At 49.1% G+C, this 24480-nt stretch overlaps 1 protein-coding gene, 1 long non-coding RNA gene and 1 pseudogene across 17 annotated transcripts in view, besides 5 other annotated features; 2 read left to right on the plus strand and 1 right to left on the minus strand.

The window, feature by feature from the left end:
- The window catches only part of TCFL5 (transcription factor like 5), a 20818-nt gene extending 4057 nt beyond the window's left edge, over positions 1 to 16761 (minus strand). The window contains exons 1-6 of one of the 14 annotated variants that reach the window (XM_011528497.4): positions 15963 to 16761; positions 15064 to 15247; positions 14303 to 14465; positions 12334 to 12574; positions 8955 to 9096; positions 642 to 1056 (exon numbers count right to left, since the gene is read on the minus strand). In XM_011528497.4, coding sequence (XP_011526799.1) covers positions 841 to 1056; positions 8955 to 9096; positions 12334 to 12574; positions 14303 to 14465; positions 15064 to 15247; positions 15963 to 16609 — 1593 coding nt within the window. In that variant the 5' untranslated portion in view covers positions 16610 to 16761 and the 3' untranslated portion in view covers positions 642 to 840. Of the gene's footprint in view, positions 1 to 641; positions 1087 to 6428; positions 7828 to 8954; positions 9097 to 12333; positions 12578 to 14302; positions 14466 to 15063; positions 15248 to 15768 lie in introns of those variants that run through there. The other 13 variants (XM_024451808.2, XM_024451810.2, XM_047439838.1 and 10 more) reach the window with 13 other exon arrangements.
- On the plus strand, positions 536 to 1130 carry DPH3P1 (diphthamide biosynthesis 3 pseudogene 1; annotated as a pseudogene).
- Positions 2476 to 2770: an enhancer, noted in NCBI's record as "tiled region #13411; HepG2 Activating non-DNase unmatched - State 25:Art, and K562 Activating DNase matched - State 12:CtcfO". NCBI's record gives its function as "activates a minimal TATA promoter and a strong SV40 promoter by Sharpr-MPRA in HepG2 and K562 cells {active_cell/tissue: HepG2 | K562}" and the evidence as "EXISTENCE:reporter gene assay evidence [ECO:0000049][PMID:27701403]".
- Positions 16180 to 16329: a silencer, noted in NCBI's record as "silent region_13127". NCBI's record gives its function as "represses an Ori minimal core promoter by ATAC-STARR-seq in GM12878 lymphoblastoid cells {active_cell/tissue: GM12878}" and the evidence as "EXISTENCE:reporter gene assay evidence [ECO:0000049][PMID:35858748]".
- The window catches only part of LOC105372717 (uncharacterized), a 17532-nt gene continuing 9425 nt past the window's right edge, over positions 16374 to 24480 (plus strand). For all 3 annotated transcript variants that reach the window (XR_936988.4, XR_936989.4, XR_007067712.1), the window contains exon 1: positions 16374 to 16480. This is a non-coding gene — a long non-coding RNA (uncharacterized LOC105372717). The remainder of the gene's footprint in view (positions 16481 to 24480) is intronic.
- Positions 16554 to 17208: an enhancer, noted in NCBI's record as "H3K27ac-H3K4me1 hESC enhancer chr20:61492967-61493621 (GRCh37/hg19 assembly coordinates)". NCBI's record gives its function as "activates a minimal SCP1, AML or CMV promoter by ChIP-STARR-seq in naive H9 embryonic stem cells {active_cell/tissue: H9 hESC(naive)}" and the evidence as "EXISTENCE:reporter gene assay evidence [ECO:0000049][PMID:30033119]".
- Positions 16830 to 17019: a silencer, noted in NCBI's record as "silent region_13128". NCBI's record gives its function as "represses an Ori minimal core promoter by ATAC-STARR-seq in GM12878 lymphoblastoid cells {active_cell/tissue: GM12878}" and the evidence as "EXISTENCE:reporter gene assay evidence [ECO:0000049][PMID:35858748]".
- Positions 17070 to 17169: a silencer, noted in NCBI's record as "silent region_13129". NCBI's record gives its function as "represses an Ori minimal core promoter by ATAC-STARR-seq in GM12878 lymphoblastoid cells {active_cell/tissue: GM12878}" and the evidence as "EXISTENCE:reporter gene assay evidence [ECO:0000049][PMID:35858748]".

Here is a 24480-nt window from a genome sequence, read left to right on the forward strand (position 1 = left end):
TCCAACTACTGTGTGCACTCAGAATCTACACCTGCATATAAATATACTCATTTTCTTCCCAATTTTTTTTTTTTTTGGATATGGAGTTTCACTCTTGTCGCCCAGACTGGGGTGCAATGGCACGATCTCAGCTCACTGCAACCTTTGCCTCCTGGGTTCAACTGATTCTCCCACCTCAGCCTCCTGAGTAGCTGGGATTACAGGCATGTACCACCACGCCCGGCTAATTTTTGTATTTTTAGTAGAGACGGGGGTCACACCGTATTGGCCAGGCTGGTCTCGAACTCCTGACCTCAGGTAATCTGCCCACCTCAGCTTCCCAAAGTGCTGGGATTACAGGCGTGAGCTACGACGCCCAGCTTCTTCCCAAATTTTAAAAGGTTTTAGGATGCAATTTAAAATGACCCCACATTTTGATAATTTCCTATATTCTGACACCTAAAGCCTACATATAAAAAACACTTGCCTATTTGGCAAGATAGAATTCACCTTTCAGGACAATTAAATGAAAGTCAGAGCCTGGGCCGGCTCCGGAGAAGTTAGACCCTCGGAGCTGGTCTCGGACTGCTGGGGCGTCACCCCTTCAGCAACCCCCGCTGACCATGGCAGTATTTCATGACGAGGTGGAAATCGAGGACTTCCAATATGACGAGGACTCGGAGACATATTTCTGTCCCTGCCCATGCGGAGATAACTTCTCCATCACCAAGGAAGAGCTGGAGAATGGGGAAGGTGTGGCAATGTGTCCAGGCTGCTCTCTCATTATAAAAGTGATTTATGACAAAGATCAGTTTGCGTGTGGAGAAACAGTGCCAGTGCCTTCAGTCAACAAAGAATGAGTTAAATGCTAAGGAAGCCTTCAGGAATCCGAACCCTGAACAGCTGGAAATGAGCCCAGATAGAAACTTCAAATGCAAAGCTCCTGGCTTCGTGGAGACACAGCCATTTGTGATTTGCTGTTCTGTAGGCGTGTTGTGGATTCTTTCCATCAACTGCTGATTTCATCTTCAGGAAGCAAGTCCATAACATGACGTATCTGGAGTTTGTGCTTAGAACCTTAAATTGGAAGCATTCTTAATTATCCATCTAAATTTAAAAGACGATAATTTAAAAAAAAAGAAGGAAGGAAGAAAATAATCATCCTCAGACATAACTAGGCGCTCGCAAGATCTTCTGAACTATTTTCACACAGTGATGAGGCTAGTCCCGGCGTCTGCCTTCACTATGAACAGTTGGGCAGAGGCAGGGTTGAGTTGTGGTTCCATCTGGACCCTTGCAGGGCCCGCCCACGACCCGTCTCCTGGGAGCTGGGGCAGCTGTGAAAGAGAGGAGCAGATCCCCTTAGTCCTCCTCAGCTGAGCCCAGGCCAAAGACGTGGTACTGATGTCATCGCACTCTCAATCTGCACCTCAATCCAAATGCATCTATTTGCAACAGAACATATGTGAAATCGTTGAGTTTTAAAGGAATTTTTATAACATCAAAACATTGAGATGACAACGTCCCAAAGCAGATACTCATGTTAGATTTGTGAACATGAGAAGAATAACAACAAGACGGGTGCGGTGGTGAGGGGCGCCTACGGTCCTAGCTACTCGGGAGGCTGAGGCAGGAGGAGCACCTGAGCCCAAGAGGACGAGGCTGCACTAAGCTGTGGTTGCACCGCACTCCAGCCTGGGTGACAGAATGAGGGCCCCTCGCTGGGAAAAAAAAAAAAAGAGAGAAAGAAAAAGAAAAATAATAATACCAACAATAAAAAAAATTTTCTTAGTAAGAAAAAAGAAATAGCTCTAACTATGAGTCAGGAAAATATACCAGGAAGTTATTAAGAGGAAGAAAGCGGCCGGGTGCAGTGGCTCACACCTGTAATCGCAGCACTTTGGGAGGCCGAGGTGGGTGGATCACCTGAGGTCGGGAGTTCACGACCAGCCTCACCAACATGGAGAAACCCCATCTCTAATAAAAATACAAAATTTGCCGGGGTGGTGGCACATGCCTGTAATCCCAGCTACTCAGGAGGCTGAGGCAGGAGAATTGCTTGAACCCAGGAGGCAGACGCTGTAGTGAGCCAAGATCGCGCCATTACACGGCAGCCTGGGCAACGAGTGAAACTTCATCTCAAAAAAAAAAAAAAAAAATTACAAGCTATTTAAAACTGAGAAACAATGAAAGCATTGTGTCCTAACCTGTGAAATGTTTCAAAAGCACACCAGGACAAATTTACTATAATGCATTGATTAGAAAACAACATAGACAAAATAAACTTTCAACCCAAGATACCAGAAAAAAATAAAACTTCAAGAAGGAAATAATAGAAATAAGGTTTTGGGATAATAAAGATAAGAGCAAATTATGATGGAAAAAGCACTACCACTGACCCCACATAAAAAACCAACAAAGTGAATGACTGAGCCCCAGAAAGACTCCAGCACGGCCCAGGCCAGAGGGGTACAGCAGACCAAGGAGCTCAGGTGGCCAGAGGTAAGGAGGCATAAACTCATTAGGACAAAAAGAATGGCTTTTCTTTTTCAAGATGCTTTATTTTTAAAACAGGTCACAACACAGCGTTCGGCTCATTCTGCCACGAACAAGCTACAAACGCTTGCTCTGCAGCCGAGAGGCCCTCCAGTGGCCATGTTCAAAAACAGAATGAAAATCCGTATGTAGGCCAGGCGCGGTGGCTCACGTTGGTAATCCCAGCACTGTGGGAGGCCGAGGCGGGCGGATCACCTGAGGTCAGGAGTTCGAGACCAGCCTGGCCAATATGGCAAAACTCCATCTCTACTAAAAATACAAAAATTAGCTGGGCGTGGTGGCGTGACCAAACGGCATGGGAGGCCATGATCACAGGCTGCTGGGAATGGATCCAAGAGAGGATGAAGTGGCTCAGGAGGTACAGACAAGCGCCGGGCAGCCGGGCAGCCAAGGAGAGCAGAGAAATGGGCGGTTGCCAGTACAGGACACGAGGTCCAGGGAGTTCTCACAGAAGGATCACGGGAGAAGTCACAGCGTGTCCGCAGGAAAGGAGGAGAGAAGGGACAGGCCAGTCCGAGTCTGCAGCAGGGCCTGACAACAGACAGCACGTGAGGGACAGCGACACCGGGGCCTGATGCAGATGGCAGGGAGATGCGAAGCGGGACTCAACCACCTGCTGGTGTGAAGAAGGGAGGGACAGACACCACAAGGGAGGCCCCAGGAGTGGCTGGCACCTTCAGGGCCCCCAGCGTGCAGGGGCATCTCACAACTAAACACAACCAGCGCCCCAGACGCCATCCCGACTGGGGAAAAAGTTGTAGTGGGCACTATTGAGACAGCAGGCAAAATGTGAATAACAGTCTTGCACCAATGTTAAATGTCCTGATTTTCATCGTTGTGGATATTAAAAAGTCAACACGGGGGCCGGGCACAGTGGCTCAAGCCTGTAATGCCAGCACTTTCAGAGGCCGAGGCGGGAGGATCACCTGAGGTAAGATCGAGACCAGCCTGGCCAACATGGCGAAACACTGTCTCTACTAAAAATACAAAAATTAGCCGGGCGTGGTGGGATGCGTTTGTAATCCCAGCTACTCGGGAGGCTGAGGCAGGAGAATCGCTTGAATCCAGGAGGCGGAGGTTGCAGTCAGCCGGGATCACGCCATTGCACTCCAGACTGGGTGACAAGAGCGAGACTCCGTCTCAAAAAAAGTAAACACTGGGCCGGGTGTGGTGGCTCAGGCCTGTAATCCCAGCACTTTGGGAGGCTGAGACAGGCGGATCACAAGGTCAGGAGTTCAAAATCAGCCTGGCCAACATGGTGAAACCCTGTCTCTATTAAATACAAAAATTAGCTGGGTGTGGTGGCTCAATGGTAATCCCAGCACTTTGGGAGGCTGAGGTAGGCAGGATCACTTGAGGTCAAGAGTTTGAGACCAGCCTGGCCAACATGGTGAAACCTGGTCTCTACTAAAAATACAAAAATTAGCCGGGCATGGTGGGCCATGCCTGTAGTCCTAGCTACTCAAGAGGCTGAGGCAGAATTGCCTGAACCTGGGAGGCAGAGGTTGCAGTGAGCTAAGATGACACCACTACACTTCAGCCTGGGCAACAGAGCGAGACGCCGTCTCAAAAAAAAAACACGGAAGTATTTAAGTATAAAGAAGCATGGTGTCTGCAGCTTACTATCAAATGGATCCCAAAGATACCTGGAGAGAAACTGGGACCGGCAGGGAGAATGGAGCAAACCCGGACAGGCCTACAAAGAGCTCTTTGTACTGTTCTTGCAATTTTTCTGTAAGTTTGAAATTACACCAAAATTTAAAATTACCAACAGTAAATAGAGCCATCTAAACCCAGAATGTGGGGCATTCTCTAGACAACCGGCCTGATCTCTTCAAAGCCTCAATGCCATAGTTAATAACTGTGGGGGGGATTCTTGTAGCTCAAAGAGCTTGAAAACTGTCATCAAATGCAGTGCATAATCCATGGCTGGGTGCTGGACTGTGGAAAAAAACAGCTATGAAAGTCATTTTTAGAACATTTTGGCTGGGTGTGGTGGTTCATGCCTGTAATCCCAGCACTTTGGGAGGCCAGCCTGGGCAACATAGCAAGACCCTATTGCTACAAAAATTAAAAAACTAGTCAGGCATGGTGGCTCATGCTTGTAATCCCAGCACTTTGGAAGGCTGAGGCAGGAGGATCACTTGAGCCCAGAAGTATGAGACCAGCCTGTGAAACATGGCAAAACCCCATCCCTACAAAAATAAAATTAGCTGGTCATGATGGCACACACCTGAAGTCCTAGCTACTTAGGAGGCTGAGGCAAGAGGATTGCTTGAGCCCAGGAGGCAGAGGCTGCAGTGAGCCATAATCATGTTACTGCACTCCAGCCTGGGAGACAGCAAGACCCTGTCTCAAAAAAATAAAACAAAACAAAATAAACATTAAAATAAAAAAATTAGGCAGGTATAGTGGCAATAAAAGAACATTTTGGGCAAATCTGAATAGTCTGTGCATTAGAGGATATGAAAAAGACTTATTATCTTGGGGAGGCATGATCATGGCACTGGGATTCTGTGGAAGGCCTGTCTTGGAGATTTATGTAGAAATATTTAGAGATGAAGGTTCGTGTCTATAATTGTCTTTGAAATTGTGCGTGTGTACAAAGTAAATACGGTAAATGTTCATTGCTGAGACTGAAGCATGGGTGTACAGGTGTTCACTGTAATTCCTATGTTCACTAGAAAACGAACAGAAGTGAATCACTGATGGCTGACGCCGCCCTGCCCTCACCCCATACTTATCTATCCCCTGCCTCCCGATGTCCCCACCTGACGCCCCCAGAATGCCGAGATCCTGCTTCTCTGAGTCTTCCCTCTCAGTAAACAGCCCCATCCACCCAGCCACCGAGGCCAAACCCTGACGCCTTTTTCCCATCACAACCCCCAACTGGTACCGCCACAAACACAAGAAGCCTTGTGCCTTTCCTCCTCCCCAGCGCCGCCCCCTGGCAGCCATCGCCCGGCAAGCCACATCTTCCAGCTACTGCAGACTCCTGGTTTCCACTCTCACCCCAGCCCAGCTCCTACTCCCTAGCATCCAGTGTCCCCCAGCAGCAGGGTGATATGGGTCATGTCACTCACTGCCCAAAGACTGCCGAGGCCCCCAACCCTCAGGACTAGCGGTCCACCAGGCCCCAGCCTGCCCCGGTGCCCTGCCCAGCAACACTGGCTGGCAGGCAGGCACTCCTCAGACTCTGCAGCCGGCAGGTCCTGGCTGCCAGCTCCCTGTCATCATTGGGCCTTGGTTGGGCGCCTCCCTCGACCACCCAACATCACCCAATCCAAAGCAGCCCCCGAGTCCGGCTGGCTCGCAGCAGCACCTTCCACCCGCAAGGCCCTGCTCCCACTGTCTTCACGTTTACTCGTCCCCTGCCTCCCTCCATGCCAGACATGCCTCTATCTTGCGCAGGGTACCCCAGCACCTTCAGCAGTGCCTGGTCACACTGGAAAAGACCTGCTGAGTGAAATGTGTACCAAAATAATGTAGAGAAATCACTTAAAACTCTCATGTATTACGTCTTCAAGGACAAAAATATGCATCCAAGTAAAAGGGGGCAGTCACTAAAGAAACAATTAAGAACCCATGTGTTTCGGCTTTTTATGTTCTAATTCCCCGAAAAAATTGTGAACTGACTTGACCTCAGCCTGTTTCTTGGTGGGTCTAATAATGTGACCCAGAAGTAATCAGATTCAATGTAATTACATTTAAGAAATATTCAGCAAACATAATGTATGTAAAGTATCATATCCATAAACATTTGGTCTACTTAATCTTTGACTATACATACAATTAACATTTTTTAATTTCAAAAATTATAAATGCCTTCGTCTTGAGTAAATCAGATCAATAATGATTTACTAATAGATACACAAAGCCAAAACATTAAAGCATTTTTTAAAACACAAAAGCTTTATTTTATCAAAACAAATCAACAGTCTACCTCTAACAATAATCTTCAAGAGTAACTGCATTGTAAATAACCATAAACGATCCGATCAGAATACATTCAACATAGCATCGCTATAGAATGCAATTAAATGTATAATGTAAATAAACAACTTAAATTATGCAACTCGCAAGATGTAAATGTCATGTGGACACAGAAAAGGGACAGAGACAAGACAAACTATTGCCTGGCGCTGAAGAGACGAGCCCTCACTCAACACAGCCCAGCTGCGGGGACCTCTCTCTAGCCCCACCATGACGTAGACACAGGAGCCCTTCTTTTGAGATGGAGTCTCGCTCTGTCACCCAGGCTGCAGTGCAGTGGTGCTATCTTGGCTCATTGCAACCTCCGCCTCCCGGGTTCAACAATTCTCCTGCTTCAACCTCCTGAGTAGCTGGGACTACAGGCGCCACCACGCCTGGCTAATTTTTGTATTTTTAATAGAGACGGGGGTCTCATCATGTTGGCCAAGCTGGTCTCGAACTCCTGGCCTCAAATGATCCACCCGCCTCGGCCTCCCAAGTGCTGGGATCACAGGCATGAGTCACTGCGCCAGGCCTGGGAGCCCTTCTTGGAAGAGGTCCTTGTTTGTTGCAGCAACCTTAGTTTGTTCTCTAGTCAGACTCCTGCCTGGGTCAACAGCAGCAATTCCCCAACAGCTTGGACCAGGTACAAAGTCAGGACCCTGTGGATCTATTTCACTAAGGTCTGCTCACTCCTAGAGGGCCAAAGAGCCACTGACCCTGGCCACTGCAACGCTGAGGCCGGGACCTGGAACTCGGGTCCCCCAAAGGCAGGGCCCAGGACCCTGGAACTCGGGTCCCCTGAAGGCAGGGCCCAGAACCCTGGAACTGGGGTCCCCCCAAGGCAGGGCCCAGAACCAGCCCTGTGACTGACACCTTCTTCCTTTTAGGCCACTGAGGGGCTGACTGAACTCCTGCATTCAAATCACACGTCTAGTTCCAGCCAACCACGATGGCTTGCTGCAGGCCACTGCCACGACCACACAGACAGGATCACGGCAGGCTGGCTGTCCTGAGGGACTGCATATGCTGGCGCTAACACGCCGGCTCCTCCCTAGTCACCCAGTCCACAGAAGTATATTCACCCGGTCCACAGAAGTATATTCACCCGGTCCACAGAAGTACAGTCACCCGGTCCACAGAAGTATATTCACCTGGTTGACAGAAGCATAGTCACCTGGTCCGCAGAAGTATATTCACCCATTCCACAGAAGCACGGTCACCCGGTCCGCAGAAGTATATTCACCGAGTCCACAAAGGTATAGTCAACCAGTCCACAAAAGTATGTTCACCCAGTCCATGGAAGTATAGTCACCCAGTCTGCAGAAGTACATTCACCCAGTCAGCAGAAGTATATTCACCCAGTCCGCAGAAGTATAGTCACCTAGTCCGCAGAAGCATGGTCACCCGGTCGGCTGAAGTACATTCACCCAGTCCGCAGAAGTATAGTCACCCGGTCCACAGAAGCATAGTCACCCGGTCCACAGAAGTACAGTCACCCGGTCCGCAGAAGCACAGTCACCGGTCCACAGAAGCATAGTCACCCGGTCCACAGAAGTACAGTCACCCGGTCCACAGTATAGTCACCCAGTCCACAAAAGTATAGTCACCCAGTCCACAGAAGTATAGTCACCCAGTCCACAGAAGTATATGCACCCAGTCCACAGAAGTATATGCACCCAGTCCACAGAAGTATATTTCTTATTAACCTGCTGGGCATATTTGAAGTCCAGATCAGACTATTTGACACTTATCTGCATTTTTGTTTCTCTTTCTTTTTTGGGGTGGGTGGGGGTGGGGCAGGGTCTTGCCCTGTTGCCCAGGCTGGAGTGCAGTGGTATGATCTCAGCTCACTGCAGCCTCGACCTCCCTGGCTCAATTGATCCTCCCTCCCAGCCCCCGCCCCGAGCAGCTGGGACTACAGGCATACGCCACCACACCAGGTTAATTTTTGTATTTTTTAGTAGAGATGGGGTCTTGCCATGTTGCCCAGGCTGGTCTCAAACTCCTGGGCTCAAGAGATCCTCCCACTTCAGCCTCCCAAAGTGCTGGGATTACAGACGTGAACCACTGTGGCTGGCCGGTTTTTGTTTTTCTATTCTTGCTTTTATCCCTTTCACAAGTTTTTCTGAGGGCAAATATCATGTCCTACACACCCGTCAGCCCCAGTGCAATATACCGTACACAGCAGGTGCCCAATTTGCTATCTGACAATTGCCTCTTCACAGTTATTTACACACTGAGTGTAACACATGTAGGCTGTGACTATTACTTTAATAAATGACAAGTTATATCATTAAAGAGCAGAGCTTTGCTCATACTGGACTTAGTATTTGATGTTAGATTCCAGGAAACAAAGGATAGTTTGAGTTATCCTTAGGAAAAAGGAGGGACATTGTTAAGTAAAATTTGTAAAATTCTGAAAATCTACCTGGCCTACCACTAACCTTTTTAAGAGAATCTCCATGTCTTTCCTGGATGTATTTCAGGAATGCTGTGGTCCACTGCAGAGTTGTGGCCTTGTCAGTCTCGGCATTGCAGAACGGCACTAAGAGATTCAACTCATCACAGCAAATGCGGATTCTGCGCCTATAGTCAAAACCCAAAGTCATCACCGAGAGAGACCGGAGCAAAACAAACATGTAAAAGGAAGCGTCTCCTGTAGTACTTGAGGGAACCAGAGCTCGTGCATCCTGGCCACTGAGTGCCACGGAAGCGCCTGTCACCACAGGAAGCCCCACGGCTTTGCCACGGCCTTGTCTACAGAGGCAGCCACTGCCTTCCAGAGGCCAGAGCATCCTCGGGTGCCCTTGGCGGCCCCATGACCCACAAGCTCCCTGGAGCTTTCCCTCTTTACTTCTCACGGGCCAGGTTCAAGTCTCTAGATTAGGGATGGCTCCAAAGCCCCTGAAACTGGAAGCAACATTTTGTGTCTGACACCTTCTTCCATTTGGACCACTGAGGGGTCCAAATTGGGCAGATAACTCTGTCATTCAAGACTGATATTACTTGCCCTTCACGGGCTAAATACCCTACCAGGAACTCGTGCACAGCTTTCTCCAAGGGGCCCTGATTCAGAAAGGATCACGGCCCAACACTCTGTTAATATTCTGAAACTTGGTCTTTGTAGAGATAAACAATTGGAGTCTTGTTATTAGACTATTTTTTAAACTTTTACATATTACATTCAGTAACATGCAAAGTCCTAAACAAGCAGATACTGAGCAACTTATTCAATATGGCCCTTGTTACTCACCTTCACACCCGTCTATTTAGAACTTTAATTAGAGACTTTGCCAGTAAAACAGCAGCTGGCATTTACTAGGTGCTTTTGGACTTCTAGACATTGAGCGAAACACTCTTTACACATCAGCTCACTGAACTCTAACCACAAGTCTACGCAGTAGAGCTAGAAGTCCAACTTTCAAACTGTCAACGTACGGTGTAAGGCTTTCCACATAGCAGGTACTCAATAAATGTCTATTAAATAAATGTCGGAGCAAAATGCCCTTCATAATTCACAGTAGGGTGAGGAAGGCCCTCAGTTAGTCCATGTGTATAAAAGTATCATAAAAAGATATTAGCTAGCTTTTTAATTTTCTTTCTTTGGGGGATGGGTCTCACTTTGTGGCCCAGGCTGGAGTGCAGTGGCATGATCACAGCTGACTACAGCGCTGACCTCCCAGGCTCAAGTGATCCTCCCACACCTCAGCCTCCCAAGTAGCTGGGGCGACAGGTGTGCAACACCACCACTACTAGTATTGTTGGTTTTTCTTTAGAGACGGGGACTTGCTATGTTGCCCAGGCTGGTTTCAAACTCCTGGGCTCAAGCAATCCTCCCACCTCGGCCCACAGTCATGAGCCACTGCACCCTGCCCCAGCAAGTTTGAATAGATCCCTTTAAAAGAAATTGCCATGCCAGGCGCAGTGGCTCAAGCCTGTAATCCCAGTACTTTGGGAGGCCGAGGCACGTGGATCACCTGAGGTGAGGAGTTCGAGACCAGCCTGACCAACATGGAGAAACCCCTCCTGTACTAAAAATACAAAATTAGCTGGGCGTGGTGACGCATGCCTGTAATCCCAGCTACTCAGGAGGCTGAGGCAGGAGAATCGCTTGAACCTGGGAGGCGAAGGTTGCGTTGAACCGAGATCGTGCCATTGCACTCCAGCCTGGGCAACAAGAGTAAATCTCCATCTCACCAAATAAAAAAATAAATAAATAAATAAATTGCCTTAGCTCAACATTCAACCTTGGAGCTTCAAACCTGAGTATTTGTCTCACTCACTGTTATTTATTTCCTGAACTTAAAGCAGAAACTGGTACACAGTACCAGTACTCGATACATTATGTAGTTAATTAATTATAGATTAGGGAAATATTCTATGAAAACCCAATTATAGGCCGGGTGTGGTGGCTCATGCCTGTAATCCCAGCACTTTAGGAGGCCGAGGCAGGCGGATCACAAGGTCAGGAGTTCGAGACCAACCTGGCCAATATGGTGAAACCTCATCTCTACTAAAAGGTACAAGAATTAGCTGGGCGTAGTGGCGGGTACCTGTAATCCCAGCTACTGGGGAGGCTGAGGCAGAAGACTCGCTTGAACCTGGGAGGCGGAGGTTGCAGTGAGCCGAGATCATGCCACTGCACTATTCCAGCCTGGGTGACAAAGCAAGACTCCGTCTCAAAAAAAAAAAAAAAAAAGAAAAAGAAAAGAAAACCCAATTATAATAGAAAAAAATTAACCACTCTTAATTCTACAAAGAAGGATACCACAAATAAAATCTACAGACAAAACCACTTAAATAACAATTTTAACCTCTTCCTTCCCAGCAATCTTAAAAGAACCAGGCAATAGCCAGGAGCGGTGGCTCACACCTGTAATCCCAGCACTTTGGGAGGCCGAGGCGGGCAGATCACGAGGTCAGGAGATCAAGACCATCCTGGCTAACATGCTGAAACCCCGTCTCTACTAAAAAATACAAAAAAATTAGCCAGGTGTGGTGGCAGGCGCCTGTAGTCCCAGCTACTCAGGAGGCTGAGGCAGGAGAACGGCATGAACCCGGGAGGCGGAGCTTCCAGTGAGCAGAGATCGCGCCACTGCACTCCAGCCTGGGCGACAGAGCAAGACTCCGTCTCAAAAAAAAAAAAAAAAAAAAAGAACCAGGCAAAACTTGCTGAACTCAAGCTGGCTGGTAAGCAGCAGTTACCAAAACAGCCTGACCACTCTCCTCAGAAAGGCCTGCAGTCAGGGCTGGCCCTTAGTGGAGTCTGCAAACCTAGATTCAGGGAGTTAAGAGTGCCCCCAGAACCTACACTGTGCAAACGATATGGCTGACACTGAACAACTGCTTTCCTTCTGGGAGACTGGACTGTGGTTGCATGCATGGGGGCAGTGCCTACGTGACACGCCCCTGGTCTCTAGCGAGCTTTCCTGGTTGGCAACACCTCACCCACGTTTTCAGACCACATGGCTGGGGGCATGAGGGGCAACCTGCCTGACTCCACAGGGCGCGCTCTTAGAAGCTTGCACCTCAGCTCCTGCCTTCTCCCCACGCGCCTTTGCTGATCGCACCTGGCATCCTTTCTCCATAGTAAGTCACAGCCTGAGAGTGACTGCATGCGGAGTCCCGGGAGTCCTCCTAGTGAGCCAGCGAGCCTGGGCATAGTCTGGGGGATCCTTGATCCATCTGGGAAAGCTAACGATGCTCCTACCTGCTTTATTCCCTCTGAACGCAGAAACGGCTAAGGATCACTCATCTGTGATAACCATGTATGACTAAGGTAATCATATATGAGTCAGCCTGACAAGCAGTCACACGTATTACCTTCTATCTCTTTCCATTCGGTTATGCCTCTCCCTACGTTGAGACCTTCCTCCCTGGGGCCCACTCTGGGCCTGCTCCCCCAGGTTTGCCTGTGAGGACTCCGAGGACTGCCAAGCGCCTTGTGTGGCGGTGGCACCTTCGCCCACATTCTGAATCTCTCCAAGGGCTCTTCGCTCTACATTTGTGTCCAACTGACGCATTCTACTCCGATTCCTCTTCAGTGCTTGTTTGCATAGCGCTGCTTCTTTGCGAAAGAAGAAAAAAGTGGTTTTTAATTTTGTATTCTTATCTCAATTAATGCTGAATACAGTTTTGGCCTTTTCAATCCAAGATATAAACATTATTGGGTAAGCAGCACAGAGAACCGAAACACAAAGAGATGTACTAATGCAGTTTTTCAGCATCAGCAGGGACCATGAAGCCCAAGCCTATTTTATACAACGAAACTGAACAAGAATCAATCATCACACTAAATACGTTTTCCAAGTGCTATGCAACCAATATGACCTCATCCAAAGCCCCTCTTTTTAATTAACAGGTGTTATCTATGAATACAGAAAACAAGAAGTTGTTTACTTTTTCTAAAGGTCAGAATGGAAAAAAAAAAACAACAACAACAAACCACCTGGACATATTTCCTCCCAAAAATATTTTCTTTATATACAATTATTCTAAGAACAAGAAAAAAAAACAATTATTCTAATATGACAGTATTTTTACTGCAATGCTCAGAACAAAACTGCAGCAGCGTGTGTGTGTGCCCTCGCCGCAGAAGTGGCTCTCCTCCCCAAAGCAGGAAGAAGTAGCGTCCGAGCTTTTCTGCTGCGTGACAGGCTATGCCACGTGTGCGTCAGTGGAACTGTATCCATCAAAGGACCACAGGCACGTGACTGGCAGGCGTGCTCATGTGCACGCGTATGCCACACAAAGCACCCATTTCAGAAGGATGATGAAGCTTTCAGCAGGAGAGAGAGGAATTCGGTCGTTTTGGTGATATTTTATTCCTTAACCTGAGTAGTCGGCACAGAGGCTGCTTTAATACTCATCTTTGTATCTTACAAATGTGAACATATACTTTGGCATAAAATTTTATAGGGAGGAAAAGGAAGGACTGACATGGGAGAAGGCGGTAGCTCTTCCTCCCCATCTTGTCTTCACCAACTCTTGGAAAGCTAAGTGTAAGGAGTGTTCTTTTTTCGGGTCACTTCACAAATCAGTTTCCCAGGGAGGAAGGGGCTACGCAGGTGTTTCCCAGGGAGGAAGGGGCTATGCAGGTGTTTCCCAGGGAGGAAGGGGCTACGCAGGTGTTTCCCAGGGAGGAAGGGGCTACGCAGGTGTTTCCCAGGGAGGAAGGGGCTACGCAGGTGTTTCCCAGGGAGGAAGGGGCTACGCAGGTGTTTCCCAGGGAGGAAGGGGCTACGCAGGTGTTTCCCAGGGAGGAAGGGGCTACGCAGGTGTTTCCCAGGGAGGAAGGGACTATGCAGGTTAGCGCAGCAGTGCCTTCAGCAGTGACTTTATTTCCAAACTTTCCGAATCACCTTACAGCCTCTCCCTGGCAGCCCTAATAGGGTCCTCCTATTAGCAGCCACCTATCCAAAGGCTTTCGGCAGATGTTAGATGACTGCCTCACTCATCGAGTATAACATAAGGAAAATAAAAAACTATAAAGTACTTTCAGTAACTTGAAAATAACTGAAAATTTATGTAAGTCTATCACTTTACTGTTAAGAAAAAGCCCTCAAACGCAACGTTCTCACACCAAGATTAATTATGTTTGAGAATCAGAATAATGTTTAAAGCGAAAAGACAGGGAAGCGGGTGGACAGACCCCTGAGATACACAGACACCTCCAAGACTGTTTCACATGTGTACAAACCATCTGTCTCCCCTGCCCCCCAAGGCCAAAATGCCATCAGCCACAGGGCTCAGTCAGAAGAAAGCTCCCACTACCTGCTGCTTCATCGCTTACCTCCCACTTTAATCCAAACTTGCTCAGGCAAAACTTTGTTTCTACTACCTAACGTCTGTTTAGTGGATTCAATTTCTTGCTGATAACAGAAAGAAAATGCTCTAGGCAATCCAATATCCTGGTGCTTGGCAGCTTCAAGTACAGAACATGAGTTACTAGAACTCTGGAAAAAAATGAAGCAACAGGAATTTTATCAATATGTGGCTTACTCTCCTCTTTACTGCACAAATGAAATGCACTTAACAAACATCAAAACTACTAACACGTAATTTGAAGAACTTTAGTTGCACTGAAGATTTAAAAATATTCGCATACCACATAAACACTCAACTTTCACAGGTATTTTTTTGTTTTTGTTTTTTTGTTTTTTTTTTTGAGACAGGCTCTCACTCTGTCGCCCAGACTGGAGTGCAGGGTCGCGATGTCAGCCCACCACAACCTCCACCTCCCAGGCTCAAGCGATTCTCCCGCCTCAGCCTCCTGAGCAGCTGGGATTACAGGTGTCCGCCACTACCACCTGGTTAATTTTCGTACGGGGTTTCACCATGTTGGCCAGGCTAGTCTTGAACTCCTGAACTCAAATGACCCACCCACCTCGGCCTCCCAAAGTGCTGGGATTACAGGTGTCGGCCTTGGCGCCCGGCTTAAAAGGTTATTAAGCTCACTGAAGGGAAAAAAAAGTACTTGGGACCTAACCAAAATAAGTTAAAATTTACCCATTTAATACAAAAGAGCAAAGCTTCACAAATCATGTTCCCTACCTGTGTCTGTGAAAGATTAGAATTTCCACTAGTAGAGCAAGCATTTGTAGTAAACAGTGGGTATGTAAATTGCAAAGCAGTAGTTGTAGCCGCAGTTTTATTTTTCACTAATGCTGTACATTTGTTTTGTTGCTGAAGAGGAACATTCATTAGTTCAGATGGATGTCGAATGAGAGTTACCAAACTGCCAAGACAAAAGAAAGCCCAGAAGTGTCAGCAATACGTGGCAGACAAGCATCCACCATCCCACTCCCATGGCTCTGGCTAGTTTTTCCAGACAGCAACCCAACTCTCATCCTGGAAATCTCTACACAACAATTAGCAACTATCGCTGCTGTGGAAGTCCTCCTCTTCCTATGGAGGAAAAGCAAAACTGCGCCACCTCCCTGCTCTCATCACATCCTGACACCAATCTCACTTTTGCCATCCTCCAGTGTGACCACGATGGGCAACTACAGGCTGGGATGAGCAGAAAACTGCGGACGCAGCCCCTTCCACAGCCATCCCTGAGGGTCGCCAAGGGGGCGGCTGCAGGCTGGAGCCTCATTTTAGAGCTCAAAGCCTGCAAACCCCCGTCGGGCCTTCCTAGGCTTCCCTGACATCCAAGAGTGCCACCCGGAGCACATGGTTCCCAGGAATTCTGCGCGCTCGGCCCCACTCCAGGCGGGGCCACTGAGGGAGGGGGTGTTTAGTTTCTGGAAGTACCTGCTCCCCGGGGCCCGCACAGCGCACACAGCCTTTCGGGGCGGCCCCAGACCCGGTGAGGTCCGCGCCCTGTGCCGCCGGGAGGGCAGGCTGGGGGCGTGCACAGCGAGGGCCCCCTTTGCCTCCGCCCCGGCCCCGGCCCCGGCCTCGGCCTCCACCCGGGCCCCGCCAGCCCCCGGCCGCCGGGCACGCACTTGTTGAGCGCCCCGCCCGGCTCGGGGGGCTCGGGGCCGCGCGGCGCGGGCGGCGGCTCGGCGGGGATGCTGTTGAAGCGGTCCTCCAGGCGGACGCGCACGGCCGGCTTGGCCCGGGCCTCGGGCGCGCCGTCGGGTCCAGCCGCAGCCGCAGCCGCGCCCGCGCCCTCCTTGGCGGCGCCGTCGGCCCGGGCCCTCGCTCCGTCCCCGCCGCCCGACGTCTTCTCCGCCGCGCCCGCCTCGCTTAGCAGCATCATGCGCAGCTCCTGGAAGTCGATGTGGCCCAGGCAGGGCGCGTCGGCCGCCAGCGCGGACGGGCACAGCACGGGGTACACGGGCGCCGCGCCCCCCTGACCGCCCGCCGCGAAGCCGCCCGCGCCTGCGCCCGGGCCCGCCGCCGCCAGCAGCGCCGAGTTGAGGCGCGTCTCGAGCTCGCCGTCAGCCGCCGCCTCCATGTGCGAGCAGAGGATGTGCTGCAGCTGCGTGTACTCCACCTCCGTCATCTCCACCAGGCTCAGGTCGGTGGTCGTGAAGCTCAGCCCCGGCTCGCCCAGCGCCGCGTCCCCGCCGCCCGCGCCCTCGACGGCCGCCTCGCCGCCTGCCGCGCCTGCCTCCGGCGGCGGCTCCCGCGGTCCGGGGCCCGACATGGCGGCGCGGCGCGGCCCAACGGCGGCGAGGGCGACGCGGGCGGCGGGCGGCGGGAGGCGGGAGGCGGGAGGCGGGAGGCGACCCCCGGCCCGAGCACTACTCTGCGCCGGCCACAGCCGGCGCGCCGTTGGGGGAGGGAAAACCGCTGAGTGCCGCGCACAGCGCCTGCGCCGCCCCGCCCCGCAACGGCAACCCCACCCCTGCGCCAGCCCCGCCCCCTCCGTTACCCGCCGCCGCCGGCCCCGCCCCCGCCCAACCGCCCGCACGCCCGGCCCCGCCCCACGTCGGCGGATGCTTGCGCGGAGGGCCCGCCCCCACGGCCCAGCCACGCCCCCACAGCTAGGCCACGCCCCCAGCTCAGGCCACGCCCGGTTCCCAGCCACGCCCCTGCTGCCCGGCCACTCCCCGCTGAGGCCCGGCGAGGGCGGCTGCGCTGGAATCAGCGTGATACCTACGCGGTGACACCCTGGGGAGAAGCCACGTCCGTGCGTGCACGTGCGCCCCATTACAGCGGCAGGAATGAAGACGTTGTCAAAACAGCTCCCTGGACCCACAGTCCACAGTGCCCAGGCCATCCGCTTCATCCGCGTAAAATGCGCAGCGCATGGCCGGGTTCTGTGGCTCATGCCTGTAATCCCAGTACTTTGGGAGGCCGAGGCAGGTGGATCAGGAGGTCAGGAGATCGAGACCAGCCTGGCCAACATGGTGAAACCCCGTCTCTACTAAAAATACAAAAATTAGCTGGACGTGGTAGTGCGTGCCTGTAATCCCAGCTACTCGGGAGGCTGAGGCAGGAGAATCGCTTGAACCCGGGAGGCGGAGGTTGCAGTGAGTCGAGATCTTGCCACTGCACTCCAGCCTGGGCAACAGAGCCAGACTTCATCTCAAAAAAAAAAAAAAAATGCACAGCGCGACGGTGGTGGTACATTCCCAGCGCTGGGCCCGCCTCCACCGCTGCATTCACCACCGGTCTCCTGTAGCAGTCAGCACACTGCCCCTCCCCCGCCTGCAGCCACTAATCTTCTGTGTCCAGGAGTTTGCCTAGGCTGGGCCTTCCCTGTTAAGGGAACTATGCAATATGTGGTCTTTAAGAGACTTATTTTTGCAATCTTGAAATAATTCCTGTACTTAACCTCTCACCCACATTCCCATCTCACTCAGTGGTTGTCTGTTCTCTGTCTAGGCATTAGGACACTTAAAGGCCTGTGACTTGCACATCGTCTTCTAAGCCGGGTCTGAATCTTTCGCTCATTTCATCACAGTTTAGACACAGACCAATATATTACAATGATTCAACGATGGGCTATGAAAGCTCAGCCATGCAAATCTAAACTCACACATGTATACATGAAAATAATATATCAGTTTTGGGCAAAACATCAGGTTTCAGAAAACACTACCAAGGAGGAAAGCAAGGACTTAAAACTCTCAAGGACATGGCAACAGAAGTCGTCTAACGTAAAACAGAGAGGGAAGGCTAAGAGAGTGAGCAGAGCATCAGTGAGCTGTGGGGCCGCTTCAAGCAGTGTGATTTGAAGTCCCCTGGGGGTGGAAGGATGGGGAGAAAGACATTTTAAGAAGTAATGATTGCCAGGTGAGGTGGCTCACGCCTGTAATCCCAGCACTTTGGGAGGCCGAGGCGGGCAGATCCCTTGAGGTCAGGAGTTCGAGATCAGCTTGGCCAACATGATGAAATCTCGTGTCTACTAAAAATATAAAAAATTAGCCAGGTGTGGTGGCATGTGCCTGTAATCCCAGCTACTCAGGAAGCTGAGGCAGAAGAATCGCTGGAACCCGGGAGGTGGAGGTTTCAGTGAGTAGAGATTGCACCACTGCACTCCAGCCTGGGAGACAGAGCAAGACGCTGTCTCAAAAAACAAAAACAAAACAACAAAAAAAAATAATGATTGAAAAGTTTTTTTAAAACTACAAACCTACAGACCCAAGAAGTTTAACATACCTCAAACTCAAGAAACATGAAGGAAACTACACCAAGATGGAAAGCAAATTGCTTTATTTATTTATTTTTTTATTTTTTGAGATGGAGTCTTGCTCTGTCTCCCAGGCTGGAGTGCAATGGCACGATCTTGACTCAGCACAACCTCTGCCTCCTGGATTCAAGTGATTCTCCTGCCTCAGCCTCCTGAATAGCTGGGATTATAGGCATGTGCCACCATGCCTGGCCAATTTTTTGTATTTTTAGTAGAGACGGGATTTTGCCATGTTGGTCAGGCTGGTCTTGAACTCCTGACTTCAGGTGATCTGCCCACCTTGGTCTCCCGAATGCTGGGATTACAGGCATAAGCCACCGTGCCTGGCCTCAAATTGCTTTAAATCAGTGAAAAATCTTAAAAGCAGCTGTACACACACACACACACACACACAAGACATTGTGTACAGAGGAACAAAGATAAGAATGATTACAGGCCAGGCGCGGTGGCTCACGCCTGTAATCCCAGCACTTTGGGAGGCTGAGGCGGGCGGATCACAAGGTCAGGAGATCGAGTCCATCCTGGTAAACATGGTGAAATCCCATCTCTACTAAAAATAAAAAAAAATAGCTGGGTGTGGTGGCACAGGCCTGTAATCCCAGGTAACTCAGGAGGCTGAGGCACGAGAACCGCTTGAACCTGGGAGGTGGAGGTTGCAGTGAGCCAAGATCACGCCACTGCCCTCCAGCCTAGTGACAGAGCGAGAGACTCCTTCTAAAAAAATAAATGAAAAGATTGCAGTGATTGCAGACATTTCTTCAGGAATAATGCAAGTCAGAACAGAGTGGAATCACACCTTTGAAGTGCTGAGGGCAAGGGAGAAGCTGACTGATAGTGTCAGGCGTCTGTATTCACAGGCTCTGCGTCTGTGGATTCAACCAAGGATCAAAAATACTCAGAAAAAAATTACTTGCACCGAAATGCACAGACTGCTCTTCCTTGTCATTATTCCTTAAACAATATGGTATAACAAGTATTCATTTAGCATGTACATCGCATGAGGTATTATAAGTAATCTCGATATGTATATATTTTAGAAACAGGGTCTCGCTCTGTCTCCCAGGCTGGAGTAGGATAATACGGTTATAGCTCACTGCAGCCTCGACCTCCTGAGCTCAACCAATCCTCCTGCATGACTCTGCCGAGTAGCTGGGACCACAGGCACACACCACCATGCCCTGCTAATTTTTATTTTATTTTATTTTTTGTAGAGATGGTATCTTACTATGTTGCCCAGGCTGGTCTTGAACTCCTGGCCTCAAGTGATCCTCCCACCTCAGCCTACCAAATTACAGAGATTACAGGTGTGAGTCATCACGCTCGCCGCTACAGATGATTTAAAGTGTATGGAAGAATGTGCATAGGTTATATGGAAACACTATGACATTTTGCATAAGGGACTTGAACATTCGTGGATTTTGGTACCCATGGCAGGTACTGGAACCAATCCCCCAGGGATACTGAGGAATAACTGTAGTTCTATGCCCAGCAAAGATATTTTTCAAAAACAAAGGCAAAATAAAGACTTTTTTGCACTTACAAAAGCTAAAATAATCCATCACTAGCAGACTTGCAGTACAAGACATGTTCCAGAAGTCCTTCAGACAAAAGGAAGGTGAGACTGGATAGAAGTCGGGGTCTCCACAGAAGAATGAAGAGACTGGACGGGTTAAAGCTATTTATTACGAGCCTTACCACAACCACTGCAATACAGCAACAAAGGGTGATGGCTAATAAATCAATAAAGGAGAGAAAATGGAATCAGACTCTCAAAGGGGCAGAAAGTGAGATATGATTGTGCCACTGCACACCAGCCTGAATGACAGACCTCACCTCTAAAGTAAATAAATAAATGATACAAAAATTAAAAATGCAAGAGGCAGAAAAAAGAAAAATAGAACAAAGAGCACACGGGACAAATAGAGAATAAATAGCAAGATAGTAGATTTAAATCCAATAAAAAAAAATCACATGAGATGTAAAAGGTTTAAACACGTCAATGAGAAAGCAGAGACCAGAATGGATAAAAAGTCAGAACTTGGAGGCCGGGCGCGGTGGCTCACGCCTGTAATCCCAGCACTCTGGGAGGCCGAGGCGGGCGGATCACAAGGTCAGGAGATCAAGACCATCCTGGCTAACACGGTGAAACCCCGTCTCTACTGAAAAATACAAAAAATTAGCCAGGCGTGGGGGCGGGCACCTGTAGTCCCAGGTACTCGGGAGGCTGAGGCAGGAGAATGGCGCGAACCTGGGAGGCGGACCTTGCAGTGAGCTGAGGTCCCAGCTCTGCACTCCAGCCTGGGCGACAGAGTGAGACTCTGTAAGTCAGACCTTGGAGTGCCCGTAAGAAACTCATTTTAAAGAGAAAGGATGGAAAGTGCGCACCTCCCTAGCGCTGTCGAAAGGCAGCTGGAATAGGCATATAAACACTAAAGTCAATTTCCAGGAGGCGGGTCTGAAGAAAAAGAAGAAAACAAATACTAAAGTAGATTTCAGAGCCAAGAATTTTGCCAGCGATTCTGGTCATTTCATAGTGAAATAGGGGGCAGAACATTTTCCTGATTAAATGCATCTAATTAGAAAGCTTAAAAATACATGGAGCAGGGCCGGGTGCAGTGGCTCACACCTGTGATCCCAGCACTTTGGGAGGCCGAGGCGAGCGGATCACTTGATGTCAGGAGTTCGAGACCAGCCTGGCTAACATGGCAAAACCCCATCTTTACTAAAAATACAAAAATTGGCTGGGCATGGTGGTGTGCGCCTGTAATCCCAGCTACTTGGCAGGCTGAGGCAGGAGAATCACTTGAACTTGGGAGGCAGAGGTTGCAGTGAACTGATATTGTGCCACTGAACTCCAGCCTGGGCAACAGAGCGAAACCCTGTCTCAAAAAAATAATAAATAAAAAATAACAAAACAAAACAAAACAAACCATGGAGCAGGCCGGGCGCAGTGGCTCACACCTATAATCCCAGCACTTTGGGAGGCCAAGGCGGGCAGATCACAAGGTCAGGAGTTGGAGACCAGTCTGGCCAACATAGTGAAACCCCATCTCTACTAAAAATACAAAAAAATTAGCCGGGCGTGGTGGCGTGAACCTGTAATCCAGCGACTCGGGAGGCTGAAGCAGGGGAATTGCTTGAACCAGAGAAATGGAGGTTGCAGTGAGCTGAGATTGTGCCACTGCACTCCAGCCTGGGCGACAGAGGAAGACTCCATCTCACAAAAAAAAAAAAAATTCTGGGCACGGTGGCTCACGCCTGTAATCCCAGCACTTTGGGAGGCTGAGGCAGGTGGATCACCTGAGGTCAGGAGTCCGAGATCAGCCTGACCAACACGGAGAAACCCCGTCTCTACCTAAAAAAAAAAAAAAAAAAAAAAAAAATTAGCTGGGCATGGTGGCGCATGCCTGTAATCCTAGCTACTCGGGAGCCTGAGGCAAGAGAATCTCTTGAACCCGGGAGGCAGAGGTTACAGTGAGCAGAGATTGTGCCATTGCACTCCAGCCTGGGTGACAGAGTGAGACTCCGTCTCAAAAGAAAGAGAGAGAGGAGAAAGACAGAAAATCAGAAAGGATGCAGAAGACCTGGACAATGCCATCAACCAACTTGCTCTAGTTGATGTTTATAGAACACCCCAACCACCCACATCAGAATACAGTCTTTTCAACTGGATAGGTAACATCTACCAAGATAAACCATAATTTGGACCATAAAATATGTCTCAATAAATTTAAACTTTAGAAAAATATGTCCTCAACCACGACTGAATTTAATTTCAAATCTAATGTAAAGATATTTGAGATATTGTAAATCTCCGAACATTTGGCAACTAAATAATACATTTCTAAATGTCTCACGGGTCAAAGAAATCAAAAGGGAAGTTATAAAGTATTTAGAAATGAGCAAAAATGAAAACGACAACATCAAAATTCATGGAATATAGCTAAAGAAATACTTAGAAAAGTATAGCAATCACAAAAGAAGACAAGTATCAAATTATTAATCTCAACTTCTGCACTGTTGAAAAGGAAGAGTAGAAAAGGAAGAGTAAAGTAAGCAGAACTGTGCGTCAGTTTCCATTGTATTTCTAAATACAATAAAAAACAGAAAAACCGTAGAGAAAAGCTCAAATGAAACCAAAGGCTGGCCGGGCGCGGTGGTTCATGCCTGTAATCCCAGCACTTTGGGAGGCCGAGGAGGGTGGATCTCCTGATGTCAGGAGTTCGAGACCAGCTTGGCCAACATGGTGAAAAACCCCGTCTCTACTAAAAATACAAAAATTGGCCGGGCGTGGTGGTGGGCACCTGTAATCCCAGCTACTCGGGAGGCTGAGGCAGGAGAGTTGCTTGAACCTGGGAGGCAGAGGTTGCAGTGAGTGGAGATTGCACCATTGCACTCCAGCCTGGGTGACAGAACGAGACTCCGTCTCAAAAGAGAAAAAAGAAAAAAAACTGAAGGCCGGTTCTCTGAGAGAAGCAATAAGATGTATCAACCTCTGGCCAGACTGAGCAGGAAAAAAGAGAAAAACAAATGACCAGAATCAGGAATAGGCGGTGACAGCAGTAAAGATTCTAAAGATACTGGATGGGTGCAGTGGCTCATGCCTATACTCCCAACACTTTGGGAGGCCAGGGTGCACAGGCCGCTTAAGCTTAGAAGTTTATAACCAGCCTGGGCAACATGGCAAAACCCCATCTCCACGAAAAACACCAACAATTAGCCGGGAGTGGTGGCACATGTCTGTGATTCCAGCTACTTGGGAGGCTGGAGGTGGGAGGATCACTTGAGCCTGGGAGGCAGAGGCTGCAGTGAGCTGTGATCATGCCACTGCACTCCAGCCTGGGTGACAGTGAGACCCTGTCTCAAAAATAAAATGAAGAAAAAAAGCTTCTGTAGATATTGAACGTATATTAAGGGGCTATTATGAACAACTTTATGGCAATAAAATCAACAACTTAGACAAAATGGGCAAATTCCTCAAAATACATAAATTACAAAAGCTCACTCAAGAATAAATAGATAACTTTATTTTCTCTATATCTGTTGATAAAATTGAACTGGTAATTAAGGACCTTCTCATAAAGAAAATGCCTCTAACAGATGTCTTCACGAGCTAATCCTACTAAACATTTAAGGAAGAAATAATACCAGTTCTATTGGTAATACGAACTCTTCCAAGAAACTGAACAGGAGGGGATACTTTCTAAAGCATTCTATGAAACAAACATAACTCTGATATCAAAACCAGACAAAACAGAACTACAGAGCAATATCTGACAGGAGCAAAGATGCAAAAGTTATTTTTATTTTTATTTATTACTTTAAAAAAAAGTTTCAAGAGACAGGGTCTTGCTCTGTCACCCAGACTAGAGTGCAGTGGTGTGACCATGGCTCACTGCTGCCTCAATCTCATGGGCTCAAGCGATCTTCCCACCTCGGCCTCCTCAGTAGCTGGGACCACAGGCATGCCAGAATACCTGGCAATTTAAAAAAATTTTTTTGTAGAGACAAGAGCCTTGCTATGTTGCCCAGGCTGGTCTCGAATTCCTGAGCTCAAGCAATCCTTCCACCTCAGCCTCCCAAAGTGTTGGGATTACAGTTGTGAGCCACCATGCCCAGCCCAAAATTCTTTTTTTTTTTTTTTTTTTTTGAGACAGAGTCTCACTTTGTCACTGAGACTGAAGTGCAGTGGCACGATCTCGGCTCACTGCAACCTCTGCCTCCCGGGTTCAAGCAATTCTCCTGCCTCAGCCTCCCAAGTAGCTGGGAATACAGGCACCCGTCACCACACCTGGCTAATTTTTGTATTTTTAGTAGAGACAGGTTTCACCATATTGGCCAGGGTGGTCTTGAACTCCTGACCTTGTGATCCACCTGCC

Source organism: Homo sapiens, chromosome 20 (genome assembly GCF_000001405.40).
Source record: "Homo sapiens chromosome 20, GRCh38.p14 Primary Assembly".
NCBI lineage: Eukaryota > Metazoa > Chordata > Mammalia > Primates > Hominidae > Homo > Homo sapiens.